The sequence below is a fragment of the Homo sapiens genome, chromosome 6 (assembly GCF_000001405.40).
Source record: "Homo sapiens chromosome 6, GRCh38.p14 Primary Assembly".
NCBI lineage: Eukaryota > Metazoa > Chordata > Mammalia > Primates > Hominidae > Homo > Homo sapiens.
The window spans coordinates 47,651,925-47,679,718 of record NC_000006.12 but is presented as its reverse complement, the minus strand read 5'-3'; the positions used below and the strand labels follow the sequence as shown (position 1 = coordinate 47,679,718).

At 40.1% G+C, this 27,794-nt stretch overlaps 1 pseudogene across 2 annotated transcripts in view; it reads right to left on the bottom strand.

Moving 5' to 3' along the window:
• ADGRF2P (adhesion G protein-coupled receptor F2, pseudogene) overlaps positions 1-23,247 on the bottom strand; it is a 41,323-nt pseudogene extending 18,076 nt beyond the window's left edge. Inside the window, exons 1-5 of one of the 2 annotated variants that reach the window (NR_184444.1) lie at positions 23,060-23,247; positions 16,142-16,318; positions 6,228-6,328; positions 1,834-1,876; positions 585-736 (exon numbers count right to left, since the gene is read on the bottom strand). The product of NR_184444.1 is annotated as an adhesion G protein-coupled receptor F2, pseudogene, transcript variant 1 (transcript). The remainder of the gene's footprint in view (positions 1-584; positions 737-1,833; positions 1,877-6,227; positions 6,329-16,141; positions 16,319-23,059) is intronic. The other variant, NR_184445.1, reaches the window with a different exon arrangement.
• Positions 23,248-27,794: the final 4,547 nt, after the last annotated feature.

Here is a 27,794-nt window from a genome sequence, read left to right as displayed (position 1 = left end):
ATTTGAAACTCGAGTTGGATGAATCAACTGGAACACCAAGATTGAAAATAGCAATAGAAAGTATCTCCCATAGATTCAGACTCTGGTTCCTACACTTTACGGCAGGGGTGGCAAACTACAGACCCAGGCTGGCTGCCTGGTTTTTGTAAATAAGGTTTTACTGGAATGCAGCCCGCCCATTCATTTAAATACTGTCTACAGCTGATTTCATGCTACAATGGCAGAGTTGAGTAGGCATGACAGAGACCATGTGACCCACAAAGCCTGAAATATTTCTCTCTGTCACTTTCCAGAAGTTTGCTGACCCTTGCTTTAGAGGACTCCCTTCTGGCCCTCCTGCAGCCTGCCCCTTCACATGGCCAGGTGTCCATGGGCACAGACTTTCAGATACCCAAAGTTTAGAAGGCTATTTTTGCATAGAAAGTGAGGCTAGTGGGTGCTTATCTATTCGCCCATCCCTACATGCTGCCCTGCTACATGGTCGTCCTCTTTCTTACTGAGGGCAATATCCACTGCCAATGGGAGGCTCCACTGTGCTCATAGAGTCCACATTAGAATCTATATTGCAAAAGAAAAGATATTACCTCAAAGATGTTGAGGGCATTAAGAGTCTGGCAGGTGTCAGTGATCTTGTGCCATGTCTTTTGCCTGCATGAAAACCCCATATTTCCCTGAGTGTCTGGAGGGCAAGGTTGAGTACACTGGGAGTAGTCTGTACAGACACCATCGCATACACCTGGGAAAATGAAAGGAGACCATATCAGATGGGAAGGTCTGGGCTCTGGGCCCACTGGGCCAATCACCAAGGTGTCACTGCAGTGACAGCACATAAATCCTGCAGACATCAGTGTCTTCTTTTCCTAAAGTGGAGGAAGACTGAAATGGATCAGTGGTCATCATCTATTTCAGCAACAAAATTTTATTGTTTCCAACAAAATCTTATCCTGAACTGTAGTGTGTAAAATAGATAAAAGTGGAACACGGCCAGGTGCGGTGGCTCATGCCTGTAATCCCAGCACTTTGGGAGGCCGAGGTGGGCGGATCACGAGGTCAGGAGTTCGAGACCAGCCTGGCCACATGGTGAAACCCCATGTCTACTAAAAATACAAAATATTAGCTGGGTGTAGTGGCACGTGCATGTAATCCCAGCTACTCAGGAGGCTAAAGCAGGAGAATCGCTTGAACCCAGGAGGTGGAGGTTGCAATGAGCCAATATTGTGCCACTGCACTCCAGCCTGGGAGACAGAGTGAGACTCTGTCTAAAAAACAAACAAACAAACAAAAAAGGACTGTCCCAGGTGAAGTGAGAGGAACGAACCCACAGTGCAGTCCACTAGTTGGAATCCACTGCTTCCAATGTTTGCTAAGAAGCCTCTCAGCTCAGGAACTCTATAATATGTTACATCATCAATGAGTTCTCACAGACCTGTTCTAGCCACTGGCCCAGTTTGAATGGGCTCAATCCAAAGGATCTATGGCAAAGAATTCTTAGACAAAGATGGAGCAGAGGGTGCTGGGAGGAGAGAGGAACAGGGCTGGGGTGAAACGTACAATTTACTACCTGGTACTATGCTCACTACCTGGGCGGGATCATTTGTACACCACATCCCAGTGATACACAATTTGCCAATGTAAGAAACCTGCACATGTACCCCCAAACATAAAAGTCAAAAAGAAAAAAACCACAAAGGTACAATTTAATATGAAGGAAAAAAATCAGAGTCATCAAGGATTCCATCTGCCATGCCACAGGACAGAAGGCTGAGAATGGCCCTCTATTACAATAGATGGACAGCAAAACTTCCATGTGATAAGTAACTGCTGCCAACATACCGTGTGGCCTGGCAGGCACCTTCTCCTTGCTTTTGCTTGCAGCCTAGAAAGGGAAAATCAAAACTCGCATCAAAATCAATTGTTGATATGCCAGCCCAATGGCTCACTTTAGTCACAAACAACCACAGTTAAATTAGCTATGATACCAGCATGGCCCACCCAAAGCCGAGTCCATGAATTATGGCTCCTCTGTGACCCCATTTTCCCTTCAGCCTGGACCACATTCCTCTCCCACTGCTACTCAGTATGAGCACTCCTCTCTCTCCAGTAAGAAAAGTCTATGTTCTATCCAGGAAACACATTATGAGCAGAAGTGGATTGACCAGGAAGTTGACAAAGGTTAAGCCTCAGAGTCCCTTGCTCGTATGGGACATTTTGAAGCCCTGGGAGAGGGTCTAGCAATGAGCAGATTGCTCTCCCCTCATGCTCAATGAGCAGATCATCTCATGTGTTCACATGATCATATGTTTTATTAAATTCTCAAAAGCAAAATGTTTTAACTACCTGCCATCTGTTAAGATCATCATTTTTTGCCATTTCAGTGTTCTGCCTCCTTCATACTCTCCCTCATTTTGGGTATCACCAGAGAAGCCGTATCTATTCATGGATTCTGGACAAGTTAAGCTGGGATACATTTAGTTTGAATTTAGTCGGATATACTTATGTAGTTTCCAGTCACTTCTGCATTACAGTGAGAACATCAACACTTAAGTGACATCAATGCTAAGAACATTTACAATTATTCACAGAACAAGAAAATTCTAAGTTGCCTGATATCTTGCAGCTCACATTTGAAATAAATTGGATAGAATTTTCCCAAATTTGATAACAGTCCTACATGTTTACATGCCATTACTAATAATAAATTAGAAACTCAAAGATACTTCTCTAAACTAGCAATAACAAGAAAAAAAATTTGATCAATAATGCTGCAGGAAAGACTGAATAATATTTCTATTCTCTCTATAGAAAAAAATTATAAGATCATGCAAGTATGCAGTCAAAAATGTAAGAACTAAAAGGTGGGCATTTCATTAATAAAAATATTGTTTTATTACTAAACAATGCTAAACAATACTATCCAGCATTTCTAAATTTGTTGTGATTCCTTTTCTCATTCTAAATAAATGTTCACTTTCCCCTTAGTTTTGTATTTGTAACATTGCATTCTTTTTCCTTAGGAGGACTCCTCCAAAACCTAGCTCCCCCATACCGTGAGCATCTCCATCACTCCTAATTAGAACCCCCTCTTTGTCCCATCCATCGAGACCATACCCGACCTTTCACTAAGAAAGTGTCACATAGTGGTCAAGGGATGTACTCTGGGAGTAGACAACCTGGGTTCAAATCTCAACACCAACATTTGAGACCTTGGGAAAGTTGATCCCTCTGAGCTTCAGTTTCCTCTTCCATAAAGTAGAGTAAGAACTATAGTACTATAATTGTATGATTCTTGCCCTAGAGCATGTTTATGAGGAATAGACGAGCTCTTCTATGAAAAGCACTAGGAATGGGCTCTAAGAATACTGTAAGTCTATTTAAGAATTTACTACTGTTATTACTCTGCACATAAACTTACTGAATTTCAGTTACATACAAAGCTCAAGTTTCCCCCTTCCAAGAGGTCTTTCCTGATCCAGTTCTGCACATGATACATCTTTTCTTCTGGCTCCTATAGGAATCATCATCCATACAGCCAAACACACATTCAATGCTTGGCATGTTCTCACCTGACCTGCCATTTTGCTATCTAATCTTTTTTGTAGAAGCATATTAGCTCCTCAATTAAATTACAAGTTCCTTAAGAACATGGACTGTGTATTGTGCTCCAGTATATTCCTCCAAGTAGCTAGTTCAGTGTCTTGTACATATGTGTGTATGCATATATACATTTTAGTATGCATATATATACTGACATATATGTTCATGTGTGTATGTGTGTGTGAGGAGCGACAAAAAGACGGTTTTCTTGCTTCTGCACTGGAATAGTGTTTCCTAGTGGCTGAGAAGAGCCTTAACCCAATTACTCCAACTTGAGTTCCAAGTTCTAATCCATTGAGGAAGAAATTGGAAATTCACTAACATAGCTCTGTGACTAACTCTTGGGGTTCATGCCAACTCATGGGGTTCTTCTTCACAACCTTACTTCTCTCTATGTTATCAAGAAACAAGGCTGAATATTCCCTCTTTTCTCTACCAAATAAGAACTTATGGGGAATCTGAATTGAGCTTTTGGGATCTCTCCAAAGTCAAGAAAGTATCACTGAGGATTCATACATGAGAAATCACTGACAGAAGATGACTTCTCATTTTATAGTCCAGAGAATCAAGCCTTATCTTATACGTGGAAGAATTAAAGTTCTTGCACCAAACAAGAACGCTAAAATAATATCTTCAGAATTTTGGAAGACTTTATATATCATCCAATCCAGCCCTCTTATTTTACAGTTAAGGAAAATGAGGCTTGATGTTGTGGTGATTTGCACAAGGCCATGTAGGAAATGCCCCTTACAGCTAGGACGAGAACTTAGATCTCCTGATTCCTACAATACTGCCTTTTCTAAACAGCCGGCCTATGTTCAAGTGCAATAGGCAGAGGGGACGAGTGGAAGGAAACATAGGCATCTCAAGATACTCAAAACCCATCTCGATAAGACCATGTTCTTCAATACATTGTGATAAATGCAGTTATAAGTCAACAACTCTGGATGATACTTGGTCCATTAAACACATCCAAGTGAAGTCACATTATATTTATCATGTATGTGGGCAGAAAGCCATGATATTCTGTTTACTTGGAGTTCTGAAAACTTGGGCTTCTTAAGGAAAGGACCTGATTAATTTCTTCCCATCTAAGTTTGCCAAAGCACATCGCATACTCCTTTGGTTATTTCATTTCTAGTGTAGCATCCAGTATAGATCACTTTAGCTTTGGATACCAACAGTCCCCAACCTAATACTGTGAAAAAAAGATACTTGCAAACCGGCAACCTGCTCAACCTGCTGAGCTGCCTGGGAGCATAGGCAGGTCAGGAGCCAGCAGCATCAGCAACTCAGCAGCTCAGCACCCAGCAGCTTGTCTAATGAGAAGAGAAGGATAGAATGTTCCCAGTAAGGTAAATCCCAATGATCAAGAGAAACAAAGCCAACCTCCCATGCTCTGCCTACTGTCCACATTCTGTCTTGCAGAAAAGTGTGAATGCGGAAATGGAATGAAGGGAGGAAATAGTAACAAGCTGTAGGGTTGGACAGCCTTCAGGAAATGGTCTTTCCAAGAGTCTCTAACTTCTCCCGGAAACCAGGTACCTGTTTAGTATTAGTGGGGAAGGGGAGCCATGGAGAAGATTCCCATGCAAAGACAAACTAACTTGAGGATAAAGTAAATATCATTTGAAAAACTCTTGGAAGGAACTTCCAAAGTCATTTTTTTCCTAAGAGGCTTTTGTTAAGAAGACATATATTAAAATGGAAAGATCAAGAAGCCGAGAATCTGAAAACAGAGGTTCTGGCCTTGGCCCTGTAACTGAGTAAGTACGTACCTCAAGCAAATCACATCCCACACCATGGGTCTCCATCTCCCTAACCGCAAAATAAGGGAGTGGAGCTTCACCAGTTGATCTCAAAGCTGCCTTCCAGAACTTGTGGTCAAATAATAGTACTCTCTTCAGAAGATGCTCAAAATGTTTTCATGTATCCTCTCTCTGTGCTCCTCTACAACTTATTTTAAATGAGTAACTAACAGGGAAATTAAAATGACTTATGGTGTCAGGAAAAATATTTCAGAAAGAGCCATAGGGCCTCCGTCCTACAAAATTTAAAAGAGTCCATTGCCAGAAACTCCGTCCCAGTGAGACCTTGTTTAACCACTGCCTGAGTTGCTCATTGCTTCTTCTAGCCCATTCATGGTGTTCACTATCAGGTTTCTTATGGGAGATGCTGTTGCCATTTTGGATGGGACAATGCTTCATTGTGCCAGGCCATTCCTAGGCCCTGCCTCTAAATGCCACTAATACCTCCTGGTCATTATGGCAACCCTTAACACCTCCACATTTTCAAGTGCCCCCAGGAAATGGTACCACCCTGGTTATGAGCAACTGAAACATTCACTATCAGAAGATATAGAACAAAGTATTTATTACTCTTAAATCACTTGAGCCTCATTGCATCTCAGGAACTCATGGAAAAAAGTTGAGAGAAAAGCAATGTGTAGCTATTGGTTAAAGTGGGTTTTGTTTAGCTGTAGTTGCAATTACTTCTGGCTGGGCCAGTCACTCTATCACCATCTTTTCCCTATACTTCAGCTCTCTGGTAACCCAAAGCTGGTTAGCTGATGGATTTTATTGCCAATTTGCTTTCCCCACCAGTTCATCCTCCACTCCTTCCCCTTTTCTTACCTGATACAATGTCCTACAGGACTCTGTGGGCAAAAGAAACACCAAGTAGTACAGCAAAAGTATATGAGTCATTGTCTTCCACACAGCTGACTTTCTTGTTTCTATAAAAAGAAATAAAAAGGCAAAATGTCTCCAATTTGAAGCTTTCATAGGTCCCATGCCACTGCAGACCCAGTCAGTTCACCTATGAGACTGGGCTGTCTTCCTCTTCCGTGCTGTCTACTCAGACCTTTCTGCTCCAGAGGCAGTGTCCTGTGGCCTCCCATTGACTTCGTTCTCTAGGAGGCTGCAGTGACAGCACAGGCAGCATTGGGAGACACAGGCAATTGCTGAGATATCCCCCACCCTCTGCTGTTGGCTTGCACGTCACTCCTAACATGAGAACCCCTCCAAAGGAAGCTACTGCCTGCCAGATTTCACCTTGCCTGCATGGATATAATAAATAACAGCCTATATTCAGGGAGCAGGAATGATGATTCAGTCTCTGGGTTAGGCAGGGCTGAGAAATCTGTGAATGGCTACAGTAGAAGATGAGCTGGGGTTCCTATGGGCAAACTCAGCCTAGAAATATCTTTTGAAGAGGCTTGGCCTATTATTCCTCACTCCCACCTAACTCTGGAACTATATGTTCATAGGTAATCTGTGATTTCTTCAAAACTGATCTTGAGCATGGTCTGTTATTGTTATTTCTACCAGAACTGATATCAAAACTAAACTGATTCCTTGACACCTAGAACAGTGCTTGATACATGGTTGGCACACAGTATATTCAGTAAAGAAAGAGGAAAGTAGGGAGGAAAGATGGAGGGGAGGTGGGTGGGAAGAGCTCATAATTTGCATCAAGGTCTGTGCTCTGTAGAGGACTCACCTAAGCTAAGAAATTTAATATTACACTTTAATAATGTTAATATTTTTTATCTTGAGTTGAGATCATTCTTGAAAGCTATTTGCTGTCTCTTCACTTTTAGATAAAAGGATTCAGAAGACTTGAATGTCATCAACAAAGACCAGAAGCAATCACAATGGTTTATATTTGGTATTTGACCATTTTTAGCCAAGAAGAACTCTAGCCCAATCATGCATAATTCCATAGGAAACAATGTCATTATTTTAAAGACTAGGCAAAATTCATTTTCCAGTCACGTTTCCTCCATTGAAATACTTGCCTAGCTAAAATTCCACTGAAATTCAATGATTATTTAAAATATTTTGTATTGCCTATCTCAGCCTATTATTAATACAGCTGTCCAAACATTTGTACTTCTCACACAAAGAGGCTACTTTGTTAATCATCACTTTACATGTATTTTGTAGCAACACAGATGGACACACAATTTCAAGTAAAATTGCCAGCCATATTTTCATCCTTTATTCCTACCTAAGTTAATCAAACAGATGAAAATTATGGTATAAAAATCATCAAACTGACCTATCAGAATCATCACCAATGCAATTACTGCTTTGGGCAAAATAATCAAAATTAGAAAAAATTAAAGCCATTGATGAATTTGATGACATAATGCTCATGAAACCTAAAGATGACTCCACGTTTTTCTGAATCAAGTTGATTTTATCTTTCAAAATTCTCATCATACAGAATGTTCTTTTTCTTAACTAAAACTAATTCTAAAAAATGATTTAGGGGATGACACAAGACAACAAACTGTCATAATGTCAGCATTACTCAGCACAGAAGCTCAAGTAGATCTTTTTAAAAAGAAGGTGTATGATCAGCTGAGTTCTGCAAATCAGGATGAAACTCATTCTGTTTGCTTAAAATTTTAATGTAATATGTTGAAAATCTGTTTATTAAATTGTCATTTTGCTTTGCATTTTAAATACAGTTGTTATAATTTTTATCAAAAATGCTTTTGATTATTACTAAAATTACATTTCTGTTATGTCCAAATGAGGGCTTTGTGATCTCTGTGGAAGTGACCTTCATTGTACTTTGCAGTAGTATGGCCTTTTTTGATAGTTATGTTGCTGCACAGAGCCCAGAAGTTTTGAACATTTTCTTTACTTCCCAAGTCTACCTTGAAATAAAATAACTGAGGACCACAACTCTGACATGCTGTCTTTTTCCACATTTCAGCAACAGTGTGATTTTAATTTTCAGCATATTTTTTACCTTTATCTAATTTATTTTAACTGAAAGAAATATTTCTTAAAGTTGACCTTTTAAAAAACTTAGCCGATAAAACTGATTGCTCTTTACATTAAGTGGTGTGTTTTAATCTGGGTTTGAATGAAATTATTTTTCTTTCAGAGTTGTTGACATTAAACCATAGTCATTAGCTTTTTTTCTAGTTCCATGAAGCAGAAAGTTTAAAAGAAGCAAAAGCGTGTAGTGGCAAAACAGTAGTGTGACTCTAATCTTTTGACCACCCACCTCCTATCTGCCAGATCCTCTGTCCTCATTTTCTTGTGAAAAGCCACAGGGGTCTGGTGGTTCTGACTTCCCTCCCCCGGGTCAGCAGGGGTAACTGGAGTATAACTCTTGCCTCTCAAACAAATGTTTGAAATGTTGGTTTCACATGTCCTAAGCTAAAAAATTCATTATAGACATTTATTTCAGAAAAGGCTTACCTGTCAAGAACATACAACCTAAAAATAAGTCACTTCGTGTGATTCATATTAAAATAAATAAAGCAATTTCATTAATATTGCAATTTCCTAAGGTGAAATGTGCCAAATACAAAAGCATTAGAATTTTTTTAAAGTAAAAATTAAGAAACTATTTTCCCTCTCCCTTATTTAAAAAAAAAAAAAAAGCGGGGGCTGGGGAGGGGGACAAAAAAGGGAACAGCAAAGTATACTAGTAGAATGTTTGGATCTACAAAGGAATAACATTTCCAACCCTCCAACCCATTCTCTGCTTTCCAGACCTAGAGAAGGTACTTAAGATGTTAATCCATGTGTTTGTTCAACAAACAAAAAATGAGCTCCTTATGTCTCAGCAATGTCCTAGCAGCTAGAACAAGGATGGCATCTTTTTGGCGGCCCCTCACAACTCTGGGAATTCACAGTATGAGAGATCTGATGCACACCCGGGGTGGCTGGGAACTTGGACTGGGGCTTTCTCCCTAGAGACTGTAAGACTCTAAGAATCAAAGCCTGTCGAATCAACATGACAGGAAGCATTCCAAAATTCCAGATTCCACAAAATGAGTCTCATCTTTGTTAGCAATTTAATTTCAGAGTATCTCTTCCTGTTTCTGTATAGAATGTCTGCACCTAAAAGCCATACAGTTGACTGACCACAGGCCCAGCTCCCTAACGTTAAGACAAAACAGGCAAAAGGAAAACATGTGAGCTGCAGGCTGGGACATGTTCGGTGTTTGGCTCCTTTAGAAAGAAAAAAAAATTGCTTGACTGAAACACACACACACACAGCAAGTGTGTGAAACACACACACACAGAAATGGAGACAAGCAGTTTTATAAGACAATTTTGAAAAAAAAATTTAAAACCTCTTCTCTGACTTAAGAAAAAAAAAGTATTGAACTAGAAATCACAAATCACAGTAATCCAAAAGGTAAACAAAACTCCAGACAGAACTTTATCAGCCAACCAGAAGGATTTCAATCACCAGCTTGGTCAGCTGACAGTCTGCGGCTGCTACTTGCATAATTAGGCTTTGTAATGAATTACTGAGACTTCAAGTGAGATTTCACAAAGTGCTGTAGAAGTTCCCAGACAGACTGTAGGCATACACTTCAGATGATCTCAGGGATGGAAGATTACACAGCATCTGTCATTAACCATCCCACTGCTTTCCCTTTAGTTAATGACCAATCCATCCCTCCTGCCTGAATACAGACATTATGGAAGGGAAAAGAATAATGAAGCAAACAGTTATTGTCTGTTTACTCTTTAGGATTTGAACCCAGGTCTGTAACTTTTTTTTAAGTATGTCATGTGGCTTTTCCAAAATAAGAAAGAGCTCATCTTTGGTTTGTTTGTTTGTTTGTTTGTTTGTTTGTTTTGAGGCTGAGTTTTGCTCTGTCACCCAGGCTGGAGTGCAGTGGCGCAATCTTGGTGAAAGAGCTGATCTTCGAATGGGGTTTAATTTTTTCAGAGCATTTTCACATACTGGCATACCTAGGAGATATTGTAAATTCAGTTCCAGACCACCGTAATAATATAAGATTGCAATAAAGCAAGTCAAAAGAATTTTTTGGTTCCCTAGTGCATGTAAAAGTTGCGAGTACACTATACTGTTGTCTATTAAGTGTGCAATAATAGCATTATGTCTAAAAAATGTACATACCTTCATTAAAAATATTTTCTTGCTAAAAATGTTAACAATTATCTGAGCCTTCAGCAAGTCCTAAACATTGTCCTGGTGGAAAGTCTTGCCTCAATGTTGATGGCTGCTAACTGATCAGAGTGACGATTGCTGAAGACTGGGGCGGCTAAAGCAATTTCTTAAAATATGACCACAGTGAAGTTTGCCACATTGATTGACTCTTCTTTTCATGAAAGATTTCTCTGTAGCACGTTATGTTGTTTGATAGCAGTAGAACTTCTTTTAAAATTGGAGTCAGTCCTCTCAAACCCTCCTGGTGCTTTATTAACTAATAATATTCTAAATCCTTTGTTGTCATTTCAGCAATGTTTATGGCATCTTCACCAGGAGTAGATTCTACCTCAAGAAACTGCTTCCTTTTCTGATCCATAAGATGCAACTTCTCATCCATTAAAGTTTTTTCATGAGATCACAGCAATTCAGTCACATCTTCAGGCTTCACTTCTAATTCTAGTTTTCTTGCTGTTTTCACCACATTTACCATGTTACTCCCTCCACTGAAGTCTTAAACCCTCAAAGTCATTCATGAGGGTCGGAATCAACTTATTTCAAATTCCAGTTACTGTTGATATTTTGACCTTCTCCCATGAATCATGAATGTTCTTAATGGCATCTAAAATGACAAATCTGCCGGGTGCAGTGGCTCATGCCTGTAATCCCAGCACTTTGGGAGGCCGAGCGGGCAGATCACCAGAGGTCAGGAGTTTGAGATCAGCCTGGCCGACATGGTGAAACCCTGTCTCTCCTGGGAAAAAAAAAATTAGCCGGGTGTGGTTGTGGGTGCCTGTAATCCCAGGTACTTGGAAGGCTAAGGCAGGAAAATCACTTGAGCCTGGGAGGCAGATTGCGCCACTGCACCCAGCCTGGGCGACAAGAGCAAAACTCCATCTCAAAAATACAATACAATACAATACAATACAATGACAAATCCTTTCCAGAAGGTTTTCAATTTACTTTGCCTAGATCCATCGGAGTCACTATCTATGGCAGCTATAGCCTTACAAAATGCATTTCTTGAATAATAAGGCTTTAAAGTCAAAATGACTCCTTAATCCCTGGGCTACAGAATGCATGTTATGTTAGCAGGCACAAAAGTAACATTAATCTCCTTGTACATCTTCATCAGAGCTCTATGAGTGACCAGATGAATTGCTCATTGCTATGAGCTGTAATATTTTGAAAGGAATCTTTTCGTCTGAGCAGAAGATCTCAACAGTGGACTTAAATATTCAATAAACCATGCTATAAACAGATGTGCTATCATCCAGGTTTTGTTATTCCATATAATTATAGAGCACAAGCACTGCAGATTTAACATAATTCTTAAGGGCCCTAGGATTTTCAGAATGCTAAATGAGCATTGGCTTCTATGCAAAGTTATAAACTGCATTAGCCCCCAACAAGAGAGTCAGCCTGTCCTTTGAAGTTTTGAAACCAGTCACTGAATTCTCTCTAGCTATGAAAGTCCAAGATGTCATCTTCCAGCAGGAGGCTCTTTTGTCTCCATTAAAAATCCATTGTTTGGTGCAGCCACCTTCATCTGTGATCTTAGCCAGATCTTCTGGTTAACTGGCTGCAGCTTCTCTATCAGCACTTGCTGCTTTACCTTGCATTTTTATGTATGGAAATGATTCTTTCCTTAAACCTCGTGAACCAACCTCTGCTAGCTTCAAATTTCTCTTTTGCAGATTCCTCACATCTCTCAGACTTCACAGAATTGAAGAGAGTTGAGCCTTGCTCTGGATTAGGCTTTGGTTTAAGGGAATGTTGTGGCTGATTTGATCTTCTATCTAGACCTTTCAAACTTTCTCCATAGCAGTAAGTCTGTTTTTCATTCTTATCATTCATGTGTTCACTAGAGTAGCACTTTCAATTTCCTCCAAGAATATTTTCTTAGCATTTACAAGTTGGCTAACTATTTGGCTCAAGAGGTCCAGCTTTCAGCCTATCTCAGCTTTCGATATGTCTTCCTCATTAAGCTTAATCCTTTCTAGCTTTTGATTTAAAGTGAAGGACAAGCGACACTTCCTTTCATTTGCACACTTAGAAGTGTTCCCATAGGAATACCCATCCCACAGGAGGGATTGTGATTCTCATTTCTGGGCCGAGCCCAAATGTGAGATTGTTATTCCTATACCTGGACCCAGCCAACAGGAGAGATGTTGACTCTGATATCTGGACCCAATCAACAGGTAAGACTGTGAATCTCATACATAGACAAGGGTCACAGAAAGCATTATGTCTCTCGAGCCTATAGGAAGGCATCAGGTGGGATCGTGACTTTTATTTCTTGACACAGCCCAAAATTGAGATTGCGTTTCTCCTACTTGGACCCAGCCAACTGGTGGGATTGTTATTAGTTGGCCTAATTTCAATATTGTTGTGTCCCAGGGGAATAGGGAGGCCTCAGGATAGGGTGAGAGATAGCTGGTCGGTGGAGAATACACACGATCTTAAGTTCATCAGCTAATATGGGTGTTTGTGGCACCCCAAAACAATTATAATAGTAACATAAAAGATCACTATTCACAAATCACCATAACAGACATAATATGAAAAAGTTTGAAATATGAGAATTACCTAAATGTGACACAGAGACACTAAGTGAGCCCATGCTGTTGGAAAAATGACACCAGTAGACATGCTTAATGCAAGGTTGCCACAAACCTTTAATTAGTAAAAAAATAAAAATAAAAATAATGCAATATCTATGAATAGCAATAAAGCAAAGTGCAGTAAAATTGGTTATGCTTGTGTAACTTTCATCTTGACATCATAATAGTTTTGTGAGGTAGGTATAGAAAGTATAGTTTTTCCTCTTTTATGAAAGAAGAAATTGTGGTTCAGATGTTAAGTGGTTTTCTCAAGGTCACACCTCAAGTTACTGGAAGAACCAGGTTCTCTTTTGACTTCTGACCAAGGCTCTTTGAACTCTATCATACTTTCCAGGTACTCCTGTCTGTCCTCATTGGACATGCAAAGTGCTGGTCATCATCTCTAGCAAGAAGAAGAAGAAGAGGAGGAATAGGAGGAGGAGGGAAGGAGGAGGAGGAAGAGGAGGAGGAGGAAGAGGAGGAGGAAGAGGAGGAGGAGGAAGAGGAGGAAGAAAGAAGGAAGGAGGAAGGAGAAGATTAATGATGTTGTGGTTTTCATTATCCCAAGTGCACATTTTAAAAGAGATTATCTAGAGGCAGCCTCTCCAGCAGTAGGAAGTATAGGCACTACCTCAGGTCAGTAGACCAAATTTTTGACAACCAGGCTGACTCTCTATATTCCAAACCATACTCACAGAGCTACCTACTCATATGTTTGGGGAAGCCCTCAGTTTTCCCCAGAATCCCAGTTTTTTAAACTGTAAATTGGCTGGGTGCAGTGGCTCATGCCTGTAATCCCAGAACTTTGGAAGGTGGGGGTGGGTAGATCACTTTGAGCTCAGGAGTTCAAGATCAGCCTGGACAACATCGAGATTAGCCTGGACAACATGGCAAAACCCTGTCTCTATGAAAAATACAAAAAATAGCCAGGCATGGTGGTTCATGCTGCAATCCCAGCTATTCAGGTGGCTGAGGCTGGAGGATCAGTTGAGCTCAGGAAGCGGAAGTTTCAGTGAGCCAAGATTGTGCCACTACACTCCAGCCTGGGAGACAGAGTGAGACCCTGTATGAAAAAAAATAATAATAATAACAATAAAAAAAAAATAGAAAAACTTTTTCATGTTCATTGGTTCCTCTGAGGATTGGCCAGTTTCTCTAAAGCTTCTGCATTGGACACTTTCCCCTTTATGCATGCAGGTTTCAATTGATGCCAGGTAATAGATGATGACTCACATCTGAAATGTAAACAGTAAATAGGGATGAGCATGTGCAGACGGCAGCTGTGTCAGGCACCTGGTGAAGGTGTGCCTGAGACTCATCCACGTTGTGACTCACCAAAAAGCCAAAGAGAGAATTTCATCTGACTGTCAGAGGCTGCCAGGATAAAGAAACTAGGAAAATATACAGAACTGGGTGAGGAACTCTAAATAACCAGGTAAAGCCAAACTTTTACGGCACTTGCAGCACTACTAGAACTGTGTCATACAGAAATAACTGGAAGCACAGAAAAAGGCAAAGCGTACAAGGCTGCTCATGGCAGTTGTATACAGAGTAGCAAAAAAAAGAATATGGAAAGTATAGATGTCAAACAATAATATAGTAGATAATAAACTTATAAATCTATATAAAGGAATATTATGCAAACATTAAAAACCATTATGAAGTGCTTTGATAATATTAGTATGAGATAGTATTATATCATACATTATTTTATTATATTATATAATATTATTTTATAATATTAATAAGAAAAGCAGTCTATCAGATGCTCATCCATAGAAAAACACTGGTGGGATTTCTCACCAACCTGGTAATGAATTAAAGAACATTTTCAGCATCTAACAAAATATTGAAATTACTTTAGTTGTAACAAAATGAGAAAAGGGGCAATCCAAAACTATTAAAGAAAAGAAATCAGAAATCCTGAAATGGAGTAGAGTGTAGCAGCAGAGCACAGATCCTAAAGTTTATTCTCCTTTTCTGTTCCCTTTAACCAAACTATAGAGTAGACAAAATCTTTAGAAATGTCACTAATACTTAGAAATCTAGAAAGAGGCAAAATACAGCAATTATTTTGTTTTTCCTCATCTAGCTGAGGATTTTAAAATTGGATGTTAGGGATACATTGTGAAATGGGGAGAGGGAACAGTGAAACTGCCTCTTTCTGGTAGAAATGAAGACTCCTGGGCCATACCTAGAGTCAAAGAAACAACTCAGAACCTTAAGACATCTGCCACTGGCATATATAACCCACGAAAATGGAGTAAGTCCTGATACCATGCATTTAACAAAATCGCAGTATCAGAGAGCTAAGCCTAGGTGGGTGGGTTGCCCTCCATTTGTCCCCCATCACCCATTGGAGTTATTCTCTGTTCTTCCACATCCTACTCTCTGCCCCAGGAAGCTAGCCTCGGCAGATTGTCTTGACTCTGGCTTCCGATTGGCTTATTCCAATGGGAGTCATTGGCAGGAGATGAGACGGTGGGAGGATAGAGAGATGAGGAGATGTATTCATTTTCTCTCCCTGCACGGTCACATTCCTAGCAGCGGCTGCTTTTCTCTGACTGCAGTTCCTGTTAGGCATTCTCTCTTAAGCCTCAGTTGGCACCTGGCTCTAGTAATTCCCTCCTCTGACCTCCCGCCTCCTCAGGCCTACGAATCATGATGGCTTTCCACTCCTGCGGCTCCCTGTTGTTTGCCTTGTTGAGTCCTTTAGCCCTTCCTGTAAAAAAAAAAAAAAAAAAAAAAAAAATTCCTCTGTAAAAAAAAAAAAATACCTCTGTAAAAAAAAAAAAAAAAAAAAAACAACTCTTCATTAACTTCTCTTCAGTTTCTTATTTTCAGCTAAATCTTCTTCAGGAAAACCCTATGGAGAATGCTATTTGTTCCTGGGAGCTTGCCCAATATACCAGGTGTCAGTGCTGCTGCAGAGAGCCTCTTCCTCCTGCTCTCCCCTTACACTGCAGAAAAGGAGATAGAGCACAAAATGCCCAGACCTCAAACCTTACCCTGGTAAAGAATGAAGTAGTGTCAGATACGGAGAGAGAGGAGTCAAGAAGTCATCTTCTGGGCCGGGCGCGATGGTTCATATCTGTAATCCCAGCACTTTGGGAGGCCGAGGTGCGCAGATCACGAGGTCAGGAGATCGAGACCATCCTGGCTAACACGGTGAAACCCCGTCTCTACTAAAAAAAAAGATACAAAAAATTAGCCGGGCGTGATGGCGGGCGCCCGTAGTCCCAGCTATTCAGGAGGCTGAGGCAGAAGAATTGCTTGAACCTTGGAGGCAGAGTTTGCAGTGAGCCTAGATCGCGCCACTGCACTCCAGCCTGGGCGACAGAGCGAGACTCCGTCTCAAAAAAAAAAAAAAAAAAAAAAAAGAAGTCACCTTCTGTGTATCAGAGTAATTTAAGCACGAACAATATAAAAGGAGATGCATCCCAACAATGCTAACACATTATAGAGAAGTGTTTTGGAGAAAAACAAAGCAGCAGAGCTTAAGTCAAAAAACCCACCATAAAAGTTAATATCACACACATGCACATACGCATACACATTTGCAGGGAAATTCTTCACAGTTAGTTTAAGATACAGAACAAGATAATATGAGCATTTTTTTATTACATGAGTTCAAAGAAGAAAAGATAAAATAACAGATCAAGATAACTCTTGAAAAATCAAAATACTATCATGAAATTCATAAGTAATTAGGAGCTTGAAGAAAGAGACATCAAATAGAAGCAAAGTATCAATATAAAGTGAAGATTTGAGGTAATCCAGCAGAAACATTTTAATGACAGAATCAGATTTCATTTTAGAAAGATTATTTTGCCAACAGTGCAGTGGGTAAGTCAGAAGGCAGAGGCCAGAACCGGGACGTCAGCGAAGAAGACATTCCTTAGTCCAGATGAACAGTAACAAGGACCCAAACCGAGGCAATATCAGGGAGATGGATTCAAAGAAGAAAAATGATGGAATCCGATGCCCGAATGAGAAAGAGAGAGGAGTGAAGAGCAGAGGCTGTTATTAACTTTGGAGAAAAAGACAGTAATTTTGAGGGGAAACGCATATATGAAAAGGGTAGCAAAAAGAGATGACATTGATGTTTTTCGAGTAAACTGTTTTGAGGCCGTTAATGAGAAGATGAAATAGAGAAGGAGGAGCAAGTCTGGAAACAAAGAGAAATAAGGGAGTTAAGCTGATATTTAGGTAGCATTTAGCCTGAAATATTTGTTTTTAGATTTGTGTATTTTCATTATGCAAATATTTTCCTGAAGCACTTCTACTATTGTTCAGATTTCAGTAGCCTTCATCTTGTTTTTTCTATAAAAACCATGTCGCTATTGCAACTGTAGGACACGTTACTCCATGATGCCTCCTACTTCTGCAAAAACACCCAGCACTACGTCATTCACATGAGTGAGGACTCAGAAATGAGAAAGCCCAACATAAATACGTAATAGTTCTAAAAATATGTGCAAATATATATTCGTATATATTGGTATGTATAACAGTTGTATGTATAATAGTTGTTATGGAGAGCTTATAACAGTTCATCTCAAAAGAATGATTCCTGACCTATCAATGGCTCTAAAAACTTTACATTTGAATGTTTACATAGTATAAACTATCATAACTGTGCTCACTGACGAGTAATAACTATTTTCTTTTTGACAAAATCAGGATATTGAAGTGAGAAATTTTAGGTAGCATCTCTACTCTGATCACATGGCTGTAGAGGCACTAAATATGTGGACCTCTTGCCTCAATGGCTTAAATAATTACACTAAAATATGCATACTCACCCAACCAGTCATCTTTTAAAATTATTTTACAATTTGGAGTTTCAGATTATTTGTGAACTTTAGCTCCAGCCCATGTTTGGGTTGCTCTCTCTCTCTCTCTTTCAGTAGATATAGGAGCACTATGAATAATTATTTGTGATTAATTACTTCATAAATGAAGAGATAAAAGTGTCCCCAAATGGATGTTCAAAAGTAAAAAGCAATATGAAAACAAGGGGCTATCTAACCCCTAAAACCACCAGTTCTCCATATTGGAGCCACATTTCCTACTTTGTTTCCTTACTTTTCACATTCTTTCTAGTATTACATCTGTTTTCTCTGTATTTGCTTTACTTCTTGCTAGAATATATCTTTTCAAACTTTTTAAATGAACATCTGTGGTTGAGAATTCTCTTAATCTTGGTATGTCTGAAAATACCGTATTTTACTCTCATTCTGGATAGCTAAACAAATGAATAAATGGTCAAGGTATCAGTGTTTCTATTCAAAGGGTGACTTGTTTACAATTTGTTTCTTGAGCAGGAAGAAAGTTTTGCACCAAAGAAGTTTTGAAATGGTTTTTCCAGCATGAGATCCCAGAAGGACAGCAATGAAGGAGAACTGAGACACAGAGGCTCAGGAAAAAGAGAGCATTTCAGAGGCACAGCCAGCATTTTGGAGGAAGTCATGGCCATCTGAATAAACCAACTAAGAATCCTTACTTAAAGTCTAAACTTATGACAAGTACACACAGATTGTGACTGCGTCTAGCGGCCATGAAACTAGCGAAACATGAATGCAAATGTTTTTGTTTTTGTTTTATTTATTCTTTTTTTTTTTTTTGCATTATAACCCATGCAAGGTAACACATTGACTTTCAGTTTAAACTAGATCTCTTCTGATCAATTCAGAATTTCCTCCTTCTTTTCCTCTTCCTTTTTCTCCTGGGATAATATTCTGGTATCATGAGAAAGACATCCATGGATGAAGCCTCCACAGTGGTAGCTTCTGACAAGAGGTACAATCATTGCTGGCTTTTGGGCATCAGTACTCAGCCCTGCTTCGCCCACACTGAAATAGCCGTGTCCCACTCTCCTCTCTGGTAGCCAGCTCCACATAGATCACATGGATTCTTTGTTTTCTCAGTGGCCAAAGACTATCTGCCTGGGTCAGGTCTGGTCTCCACCACTTCTCAGGGATATGGGAAACTGCCCGTCCCTCATTCTGTGCTCTTCCTTCTCTCTCTCTTTGCTCTGATTGCTTCAGAACTCACAGAACCTTTTCATCTCCCAAAGCCCAGTTCTTGCTACAGGAAGCCCAGTTCTCTTTTCGGAACCGGCTGAAAACATGTCACGACTTAGGCATTTGGCATCAGCATTATGTTTCTCCTGTCTTCCCTTAGCAGTTCCACCCCACCAAAGCACACGATTCACAGTCCTCAGGAAATGGCCCTGGGCACAGATATCAGTATCTGGATAATCTCTTAAAATTGGGTGTGTGTGTGTGTGTGTGTGTGTGTGTGTGTGTGTGTGTGTGTGTGTCATTGCTATAGAAGAATGGGCCAGTGAAGAGGTATATTTTCTGAACATTTTTTAAAGTTCTGAGCTCTCTACCTCAAAGGGTTATCACAGGTTTTTGTGATACACAACCAAAGAAATTGCCAAGTACCCAGAACTCAATTCCCACCCAGGCTTTTGTTCTTGTACAAACACCTGGCTTAAGAGGTGTTCCAATTACTAGAAAAAAGATAGGTATTTCGGGCAAGGAAGAAGAGTTTTCCTCCTGGTTTGAGAAAGGGAAGAGGTTATATAAACTCCCTAGGTATCAGCTCCCGTACCACGGAATGCCTGTAGAAGTGAGAAGACATTCATGGGTGACTCAGCGTGTGAAGAGAACTGAATATATATGGAACTCAAATGCCTTTGAGACCCAAGGCATTAAAGACCATCATAAAATGTCTCCGTGCCCAAGCTTGCACAGAAGGGATAGTGCCACTCTCTTCCAGCTGCAATGATGACTTGAGACTGCTTTAGACTCTCCAAATTCTTCCTAGATCCTTGGCAGAAGACAGCCTCTCCAAACACAACGCCAAGATGGAATTTCCTCAAAAATATTTGTAGGAAATCAAAGGGCAGTAGGGAGGACTCGTTCTATTAACTGATTTATAACTGATTTAGAATCTTTGAGGAAATGTGATATTTTAAAAGCCAGATGTGTTATGAGATAAAATGTATACCTGCTACAAATAGAACATTATGCCAAGCAGTGACCTTCATAGTATTTGCTAATATGCATCACCTAATGCAGAGCAACTTTTACAACTTCCTACTCTAATATGGATAAGATTTTTGTTTTTGTTATCAAACATGTTAATTTGTATTTTGCGATCCAAAACTTTCAGATTAACAAAGACCAATTCTCTGTTATTCCATTCTTTTGAAATAGATATAATTTGAAAAAACAGCGGTCATAATAAGCAATGGCTTTGTCTTATCAACAGCTGGATGTTCTCAAATTCAGCAGTTCAGGACTCACTTTGCATTTCTGTTAGAGGAATACACTGGACTCCTATTATCATTATTACATTTATTTTCCTAACTACCCCCTCAGCCCACCCATCCCTGTCTGGAAACTGCTTACCCATCCACATTTCCTGTGTGTGCAGCCAGCTGAACAGTGTACTTGGTCAGAGCTGACTGCATTAGGGGATGGCAGTTGATCCAACTGAACCCATCCATCCTCACCCCAGGAATTTTGAAATTTGGACAAGAAGAAAGAGATGGGACTCACTCTCTTTGTCAAGAGAAGCTGAAAAACCCAGCAATCCATAGCAGTGATTTCCAGCTTCAATCGTACATCGGGATTCCCAGAGGAGCTTTTAAAATATACTAGTGCCTGGGCCCCACTTCAGAACCATTTAAATCAGAATTTCTGGGGCTGAGGCTCAGACACTAATACATTGCCCCAAACTTTTTATCTTGAATAATTTAATTACGACTGAAAAATGGAAAGAATAGAACAGTGAACACTTAATATCCCTTCACCTACATTGTGCTGTTAACATTTAGGATAAATGGTCTTTTAAATTCCACAGATGATATTCATATACAGAACTGAGAAAAAACCCTAGGTGATATTAATATGTGATTGAGAACGACCTAACTGTAGAAAGAAGGACAGAGCAAAAGGAAGCAGATGCACCAAGAGGGGCAAAGATCATAAAGAGAGTCCTGAGGCCATTCAGACCCCTGTGTCTCATGCCCTGTGTTCTATGAGATCTCCGAGTATTACTAAAATAAAATCACTTTTGGGGCTTTAGCTAAGGAGTTGTTCATTGCAGTCAAAAGACTCAGGAGTTGTTCATTGCAGTCAAAAGATTCAGGAATAATAGGCAGAAGCAGTAGGTTCTATAGCCTCGTCCCTAAATAAAAATAAAATCAGGGGTTTTACTAGCCTGAGAGATGGCTGTTATGTTAAAAGAAATATATAAAAATAACAAACCCGGAAGCCATCAATTCCCAAGATAATGGGACTGATAGATCATTGCTAAACTATGGTTTTTTGGAAGTAGCCACTGTCTCCTGAGGTAGACTGTTTCCCACTAGTGAATTAAATCAAATCTCACACACACAACAGCAGTAACAAGGAGGGGAAGGTGGCTGTGGGCCTGGTCTGCCCATATCACCAACCCATGTCACTGACATGGGTTAGAATTACCAGAACATGCTGATGATAAAGAAGACTGATTTTCAGTTGGTTCTATTATCTTTTAGACATGTTTAGAAATATTATTCTCTATAGGAACTGCACCCCGTTAATGCCTGAACCCAGGGCAGGTGACTTCCACTGACAACCCCTGTGCTGTCCTCCCATGTCCAATTTTAGAAAGAGCAACCGGTTACCAGGCCTGGTAACTGAATCCCCTGATCTCATTATCTGTGAATAAGAGGTCTGATTTCTGTTCACAAGTTTCTATTCATTTTTCAAAAAAGACAATGATGTTGTAACTCTATATTATGCAAATATTATTAGAACAGAATTGTGGCTATATTATTTTAGGATACCATCTCTAAGGACATAAAGTACAAGTTTTGCAGTCTTTTAAGGCTAACCACTTGCCCAGAAATATATTTGAAATTATGCATTTGAGCTACCAATAAGTGGATTTTTTGAAACTATAGGACTATGAATGAATTTTGAAAGAGGAAACGTAATAAACCAAAAGTAATGTGGGAGAAATTCAAGCATCACTTTTATCTGTAAGTTCACTTTAAGAGGGAAAAACACATTTTGTCAAATTTCAAAGGATAAACAATTTTAAGCAAAACTAAACTTTTAAAATTCATATTCAACAAATACTGACAAAGAATCAGAAAAAAGAAAGGAATGAAGCATCAATTACACTATTTTAAAGAATAGTATAAAAAACAATGGAACTGTAGTTACATCCCCACAATACAAAGAATGACACAATGGAGACAAGCTTAAGAACCCAGAGAAATCTCCCCAAAGTCTGCCTTCCTCTTGAGAAAGTATCATCTGAGAAGAAGAATGTGTAAGGCCAAGAGTTTTCATTGCCATAGGTTAGTCGTTGGTGCAGGATTTTTTGAGAAAGTACAAAAATATTACTCAGTTTCAAGAAGGGTTTGAGGCTAGTGATGCCTTCATAATAAGCCAAAATTGTAGATAAAACATGACAAGGTCTGATGAGGGAAAATAATCATAAAAATGTTCATTAACTTCTGCATTTACACCTAGTACCTTGGAGATTATCAGAAAAAAAGGTTATTTATAGGTTCCCATTTCCTGTATTCTGATCTTTGGATAAAATTAGTGGAGCACAGAAGAACAGAGAAGAATAAATGAAAACAAAAATATTTTTATACAGACTTGTGCTCTTATTACGTAAAGTGCCTTAAAGTTAATAAATTCCTTCTTATTCACTGTACATGTTCCCTTATTCACTGTATAAATTCACTTATTCACTACATATGTTATTAATTAAACCTCAAATTACCAAAGCCTCACAAACACAAAATCATGAGTGGCTGCTCATCTCTGAAATTCCTCTCCAAAGGAAGTCACTGGAAGGAGAAGGAGGACCTGGGACTACTCACTGTGGCTGGCCAAAGACAAACTCACCGGCAAATTTGCCCCACTCCCTGGCAGCTGGAGATATGGGCATTACTGGCTCTCTTCTGTCATACCTTGCTACAAATCACAGGCTGGGCTCTTGTATGGATGAGAGTCAAGTTAGCCCCGAATGGCAGCTCCCCAGGCTGGACCCTGCGGTTCCCATAGGCAGTCAGCCCCATGTGCAGGAGTGCTGCAGCCTGACAGACAAGTCCTGCATGGGAGTAGCTCCTGCAGTGGGAGGGGCAATGCACTGGAGAATGGATGAGTCACACCAGGTGACAGACGCGGACTCTCACAAAAAGCAAAGGCTCCTGTCTTGGGCAAGGGATTTAAGACTGTGGTGGCAGCACAGGATGTGTGATGCATGGCTGTAGCTCATTTGTTCTTACAAATCAGCCTGAGCCTAAAGATGAAATTTGGAAACCACAAGTGCCTCTGCTTGGGGCTCTGGTACTAGCTGGCTGGCTTTCTGGTTACTAGGATTATGGTGGTATGGTTCCCTAATCATTCCTATCGGTCTCCAGTTGCAAACACAAGGTAGCATTGTGATTCCTCACCTCCTTGTGGTCAGTGGGGCATTTAAGTAATTCTGCATGGTGCCAGCAATTCAGAATAGTAGTTACTCCATGAGACTGGGTCCCTGAGTGACCGTGATAAGAAGAGGTCCCTGCTAACACATGACAACCATAAGAAAGGATTACTTCTTACTATTCTTACTCCCTGAGATTTGGGAGCTATTTGTCACCTCAGCATAACCTACCCTATACAAGGACAAAGACTCTCAAAAAGCAACATGGTCAGTGACATATCTTTTTTTAAATTTGAAACACTCAAAAACTCTTTTTTTTTGTATTTATGAACTTCTTAGCTTCCCCAATCCCATGTTTGAAAAGCTATATCTATATTTATCTAGAGTGTGGCATTTTTCAAAATCTTCACGAAGTTCTCCTAATATACTGAAAGGCACCCCTTAATTTTAATCTCAGCATTCCCCCTTCCTCATTTTGTTTCCTTAGCTAGTCTTGATCTTCTAGGAAGTGGCCAGGGAAGGATGGGAAAGTTCCCAGCTGCTGTGAGTGCTGTGCTGCTATTTTTCTCTAATTCTAGGTCTGTGAATCCCCTTGAGGGCTGAATAGTACCCTCTTGAAATCCACTCAAGTCTGCTCCTCAGATGGGAAAATTCTATCTTTTAAAAAATATAGGTTGGCCACAGTGCCTCACACCTGTAATCTCAGTACTTTGGGAGGCTGAGGCAGGAATGCTTGAGGCCAGGAGTTCGAGACTAGCCTGAGCAACATAATGAGACCTTGTCTCTACTTTAAACAAACAAACAAAAAAAATTAGCTGGGCATGGTGGTGCACACCTGTAGCCCTGGCCACTCAGGAGGCTGACATAGGAGGCTCACTTGAGCCCAGGAGATTGAGGCTACAGTGAGTGGAGATTGTGCCACTGGACTCCAGCCAGGGTGACAGAGTAAGACCCTGTCTCAAAAAAAATTTATATATATATATATATATATATATATATATATATATACACATACACACACACACACACACACACATATATATACACACATATATATACATATATATATACACATATATATACACACATATATATACATATATATATACACATATATATATATGCTTTATTTTTTAGAGTAGTTTTAGGTTTACAGCAAAATTGAGGCAAAAGTACAGAGATTTCAAAAATATCCCTGCCCCCCCATACACACAACCTCCCCCACTATCAACATCTCGCGGTAGGTGATGCATTTGTCACAACTGGTGAGTCTACACTAACATGTCCTAATCAGTCGCATTGTCATTATTTATACACAAAATGCCCAGTGTGCCATGCATCTGTGGATATATCAATTTATATAAAATATGACCCCTAACCTCCCAGAGTTCACACTTCTAGTTGGAAGAAGAAAACACATAAATATGAAAAACATACAAGATCTTCTCTACTAATAGCTGACACAGTCACTCCCAACAATGGAGGAGTTGATGGAGGCTGGCCTGGTCAGGAGTCACTTCATGGAGAATACAGGGACAGACCAGGCCTTAAAGGACACGTCTGATTTACACTGATGAGCAACGTTTTGGTAGCAGGAGAGACTTGTTCAGTAAAGGTTTATTGAGCATCTACCAGAGATCAGGAATGTAAAAAGTGGAAGTGTTCTTGAAGATCATCCAAGCCCAGCCCCGCACAGCACAAATCAGGAAGCCAACCCAGCTATTATTTCCAGAGCTGGGACTCCCAACTTTTGAAAAGGCAGATGCTTGTACTGGCCTAAACCAAATGAAGCAGGGCTCCCAGCCATGGCTCCAGCCTCATCCCCGGTCACTCTCTGACTCACACATCATCCTCTGGTGATGCTGTACTGATGGCTTTCATCACATTGTTTCAAGCCTCCAAGCCTTCATGCCTGCCGTGTGTGCCCTGTGCCTAAGGGACATCCTTGCCACCTCTGTTCCCTGGCTGACTCCTTGTACTCAGTCAGATTCAACCTAGCTGTCTTAAGTCTCCTCCACAGCCCTACGTGAAACTGAGTACCGGTCCTTTTGCATACATCTGCCTTATTGCTGATTTTGTAATGCTAGAATCCAAATCATCCCCTCTGCAATCATCTCCACGAAGGCTGTGGCCTGCCTTGTCCTGCTCATCTTGCTCCAGCCATACAAACTGGCTCACATTTCTTTTCCTCTCCACTGGCCTTTGCTATAGCCTGAAAGCCTCCGCCCCTCTCTACCCATAACTTCACCTGGCTGACTCATTCTCGTCCTCAAGTGCCTCTTCCCCTGTCAGCCCTTCCTGGCCATCTACTCTGGCCTAGCTTCTCCCTTAGTGCCACCATGGGACATGGTGCACAAGACCGGCACCATCTCATCATCTAGGTTTTAGTTTAAATGTCATCTCCTCAGGGAAGCATTCTCTGAAGTGGCAATCATTATTTACCTACCCCAGTCCACACTGCCTTCTTCCTTGCCCAAAACTCAGATTGGATGACCCATGATTATTTTGAATGAATTGTGGTAATATAGATCTTCTTCGCTGGTCACTAAACTACATGTAGGCAGGCCACCATTTCTGTTCGATGAATTTTAGGGGGAAGTCTGCTAGGGGGTGTGAAAGCTTCTAGAAAGAACCTTTCCCTGATAATTAAAACAGCTACACTAGGAAGAAAAAATGTTATCTTGTCCCCATTCTCCCACCCCTTTTTCTCTTCTGGCTTTGGAAATTGAGAGGGTGTAGTATCTGCAGCTATGGCAGTCATTCTGCAGCCATGAGGAAAACATCAATGTGTTGCAAATGGGGGAACAGAGACATGGAAAAACTCTTGATCTTTGATGACATGACTGAATTACTAAATCCACACTGGGATCAATAATCTCTGCGCTCTTAAAATATATAATTAATAGCTCGAGGGCTTAAGCCACTGTTAGGCTTTCTGTTACTGTGGCCAAAATAGCTTAATTTGGCCAGGCTCAGTGGCACACGCCTGTAATCACAGCACTTTGGGAGGCTGAGGCATGTGGATCACCTGATGTCATCAGATCTGACATGGCAAAACCCCATCTCTACAAAAAATACAAAAATTAGCTGGTCTTGGTGGTGCACTCCTGTAATCCCAGCTGCTCAGGAGGCCGAGGCATGAGAATCACTTGAGATTGTGCCACTACACTCCAGCCTGGGCAACAAGAGCGAAACTCCGTGCCAAAGAAAAAAATATATAGCTTAATTTATACTCTTAACATTCAATCTAAGGTAACACCCGTCATTCTCTATAACATTTCACTGTTTTCCTCAATCTATCACTAGTCAAAAGTATCATGTTTAGTGGTGTGCTATTGGTCAATTGATGTATCTCACTAGAAGGTAAGGACCACGGAGGTAGGGACTTTGTAATTTTGTCACTGCTGTATTTCTGTCACCTAGAACAATGCCTGGCACTCAGTAGGAGTCCAATAAATATATGTTACATAAGCGATTGGATGAAAGAATACTTCTGTTGTCAATTCTTTGTTTTTTAAATCAGACTGTGGGCTCTTCAAAGTCAAAGAATTCATATTGTATTTTTATTTCCTCAAAACCCAATAGACTGCTTGGCATATAGCTGGTAATTATTAAATGTTCTATGAATGAATACACATGTTCCCTATCTTTTCTTCAATAGTCACCCAGCATATGACTCGTGGTCATTCAGTATTGGACATCTATTGGAAAAGGTGATTGATAAAGGAATTCTGAACTGTTGTTTCATGAGTATTTAGCTTACAAGAGAAATTTATGATATGATCTTAACCTGGCAAAACATCTTAGAATAGCCATGTGGACCAAAATTGCAGATTAAACTCTTCCAGTAATGAATAGCTGATCTCCACAGGAGGCAATTTTTCTAGTCACATTGCAATTGTATTTTTCCCTAAGTAGGCCAAAATATGCCTGTTTGTTATTGACAGCTACTGTCAACTTTACAGTCCTCTCTCAAGTTTATTCATCTTTAAAACCCAAACCTGAAACAAATGCCCTCTCCATGTCCGTACACAAGCAGTTGAATTTGGCAGGTATAAAATTACAGAACAAAGCCATCTACCATGCCTCATTCACCGTAAGGTGCCATTGATTATGATATTCCCATTGTTTTATGAACCATAAAGAAAACAACGGTGGCAATTAAACTATGAAACAATGCGAGGAAACCAACAATACTAGGAAACTATGGAA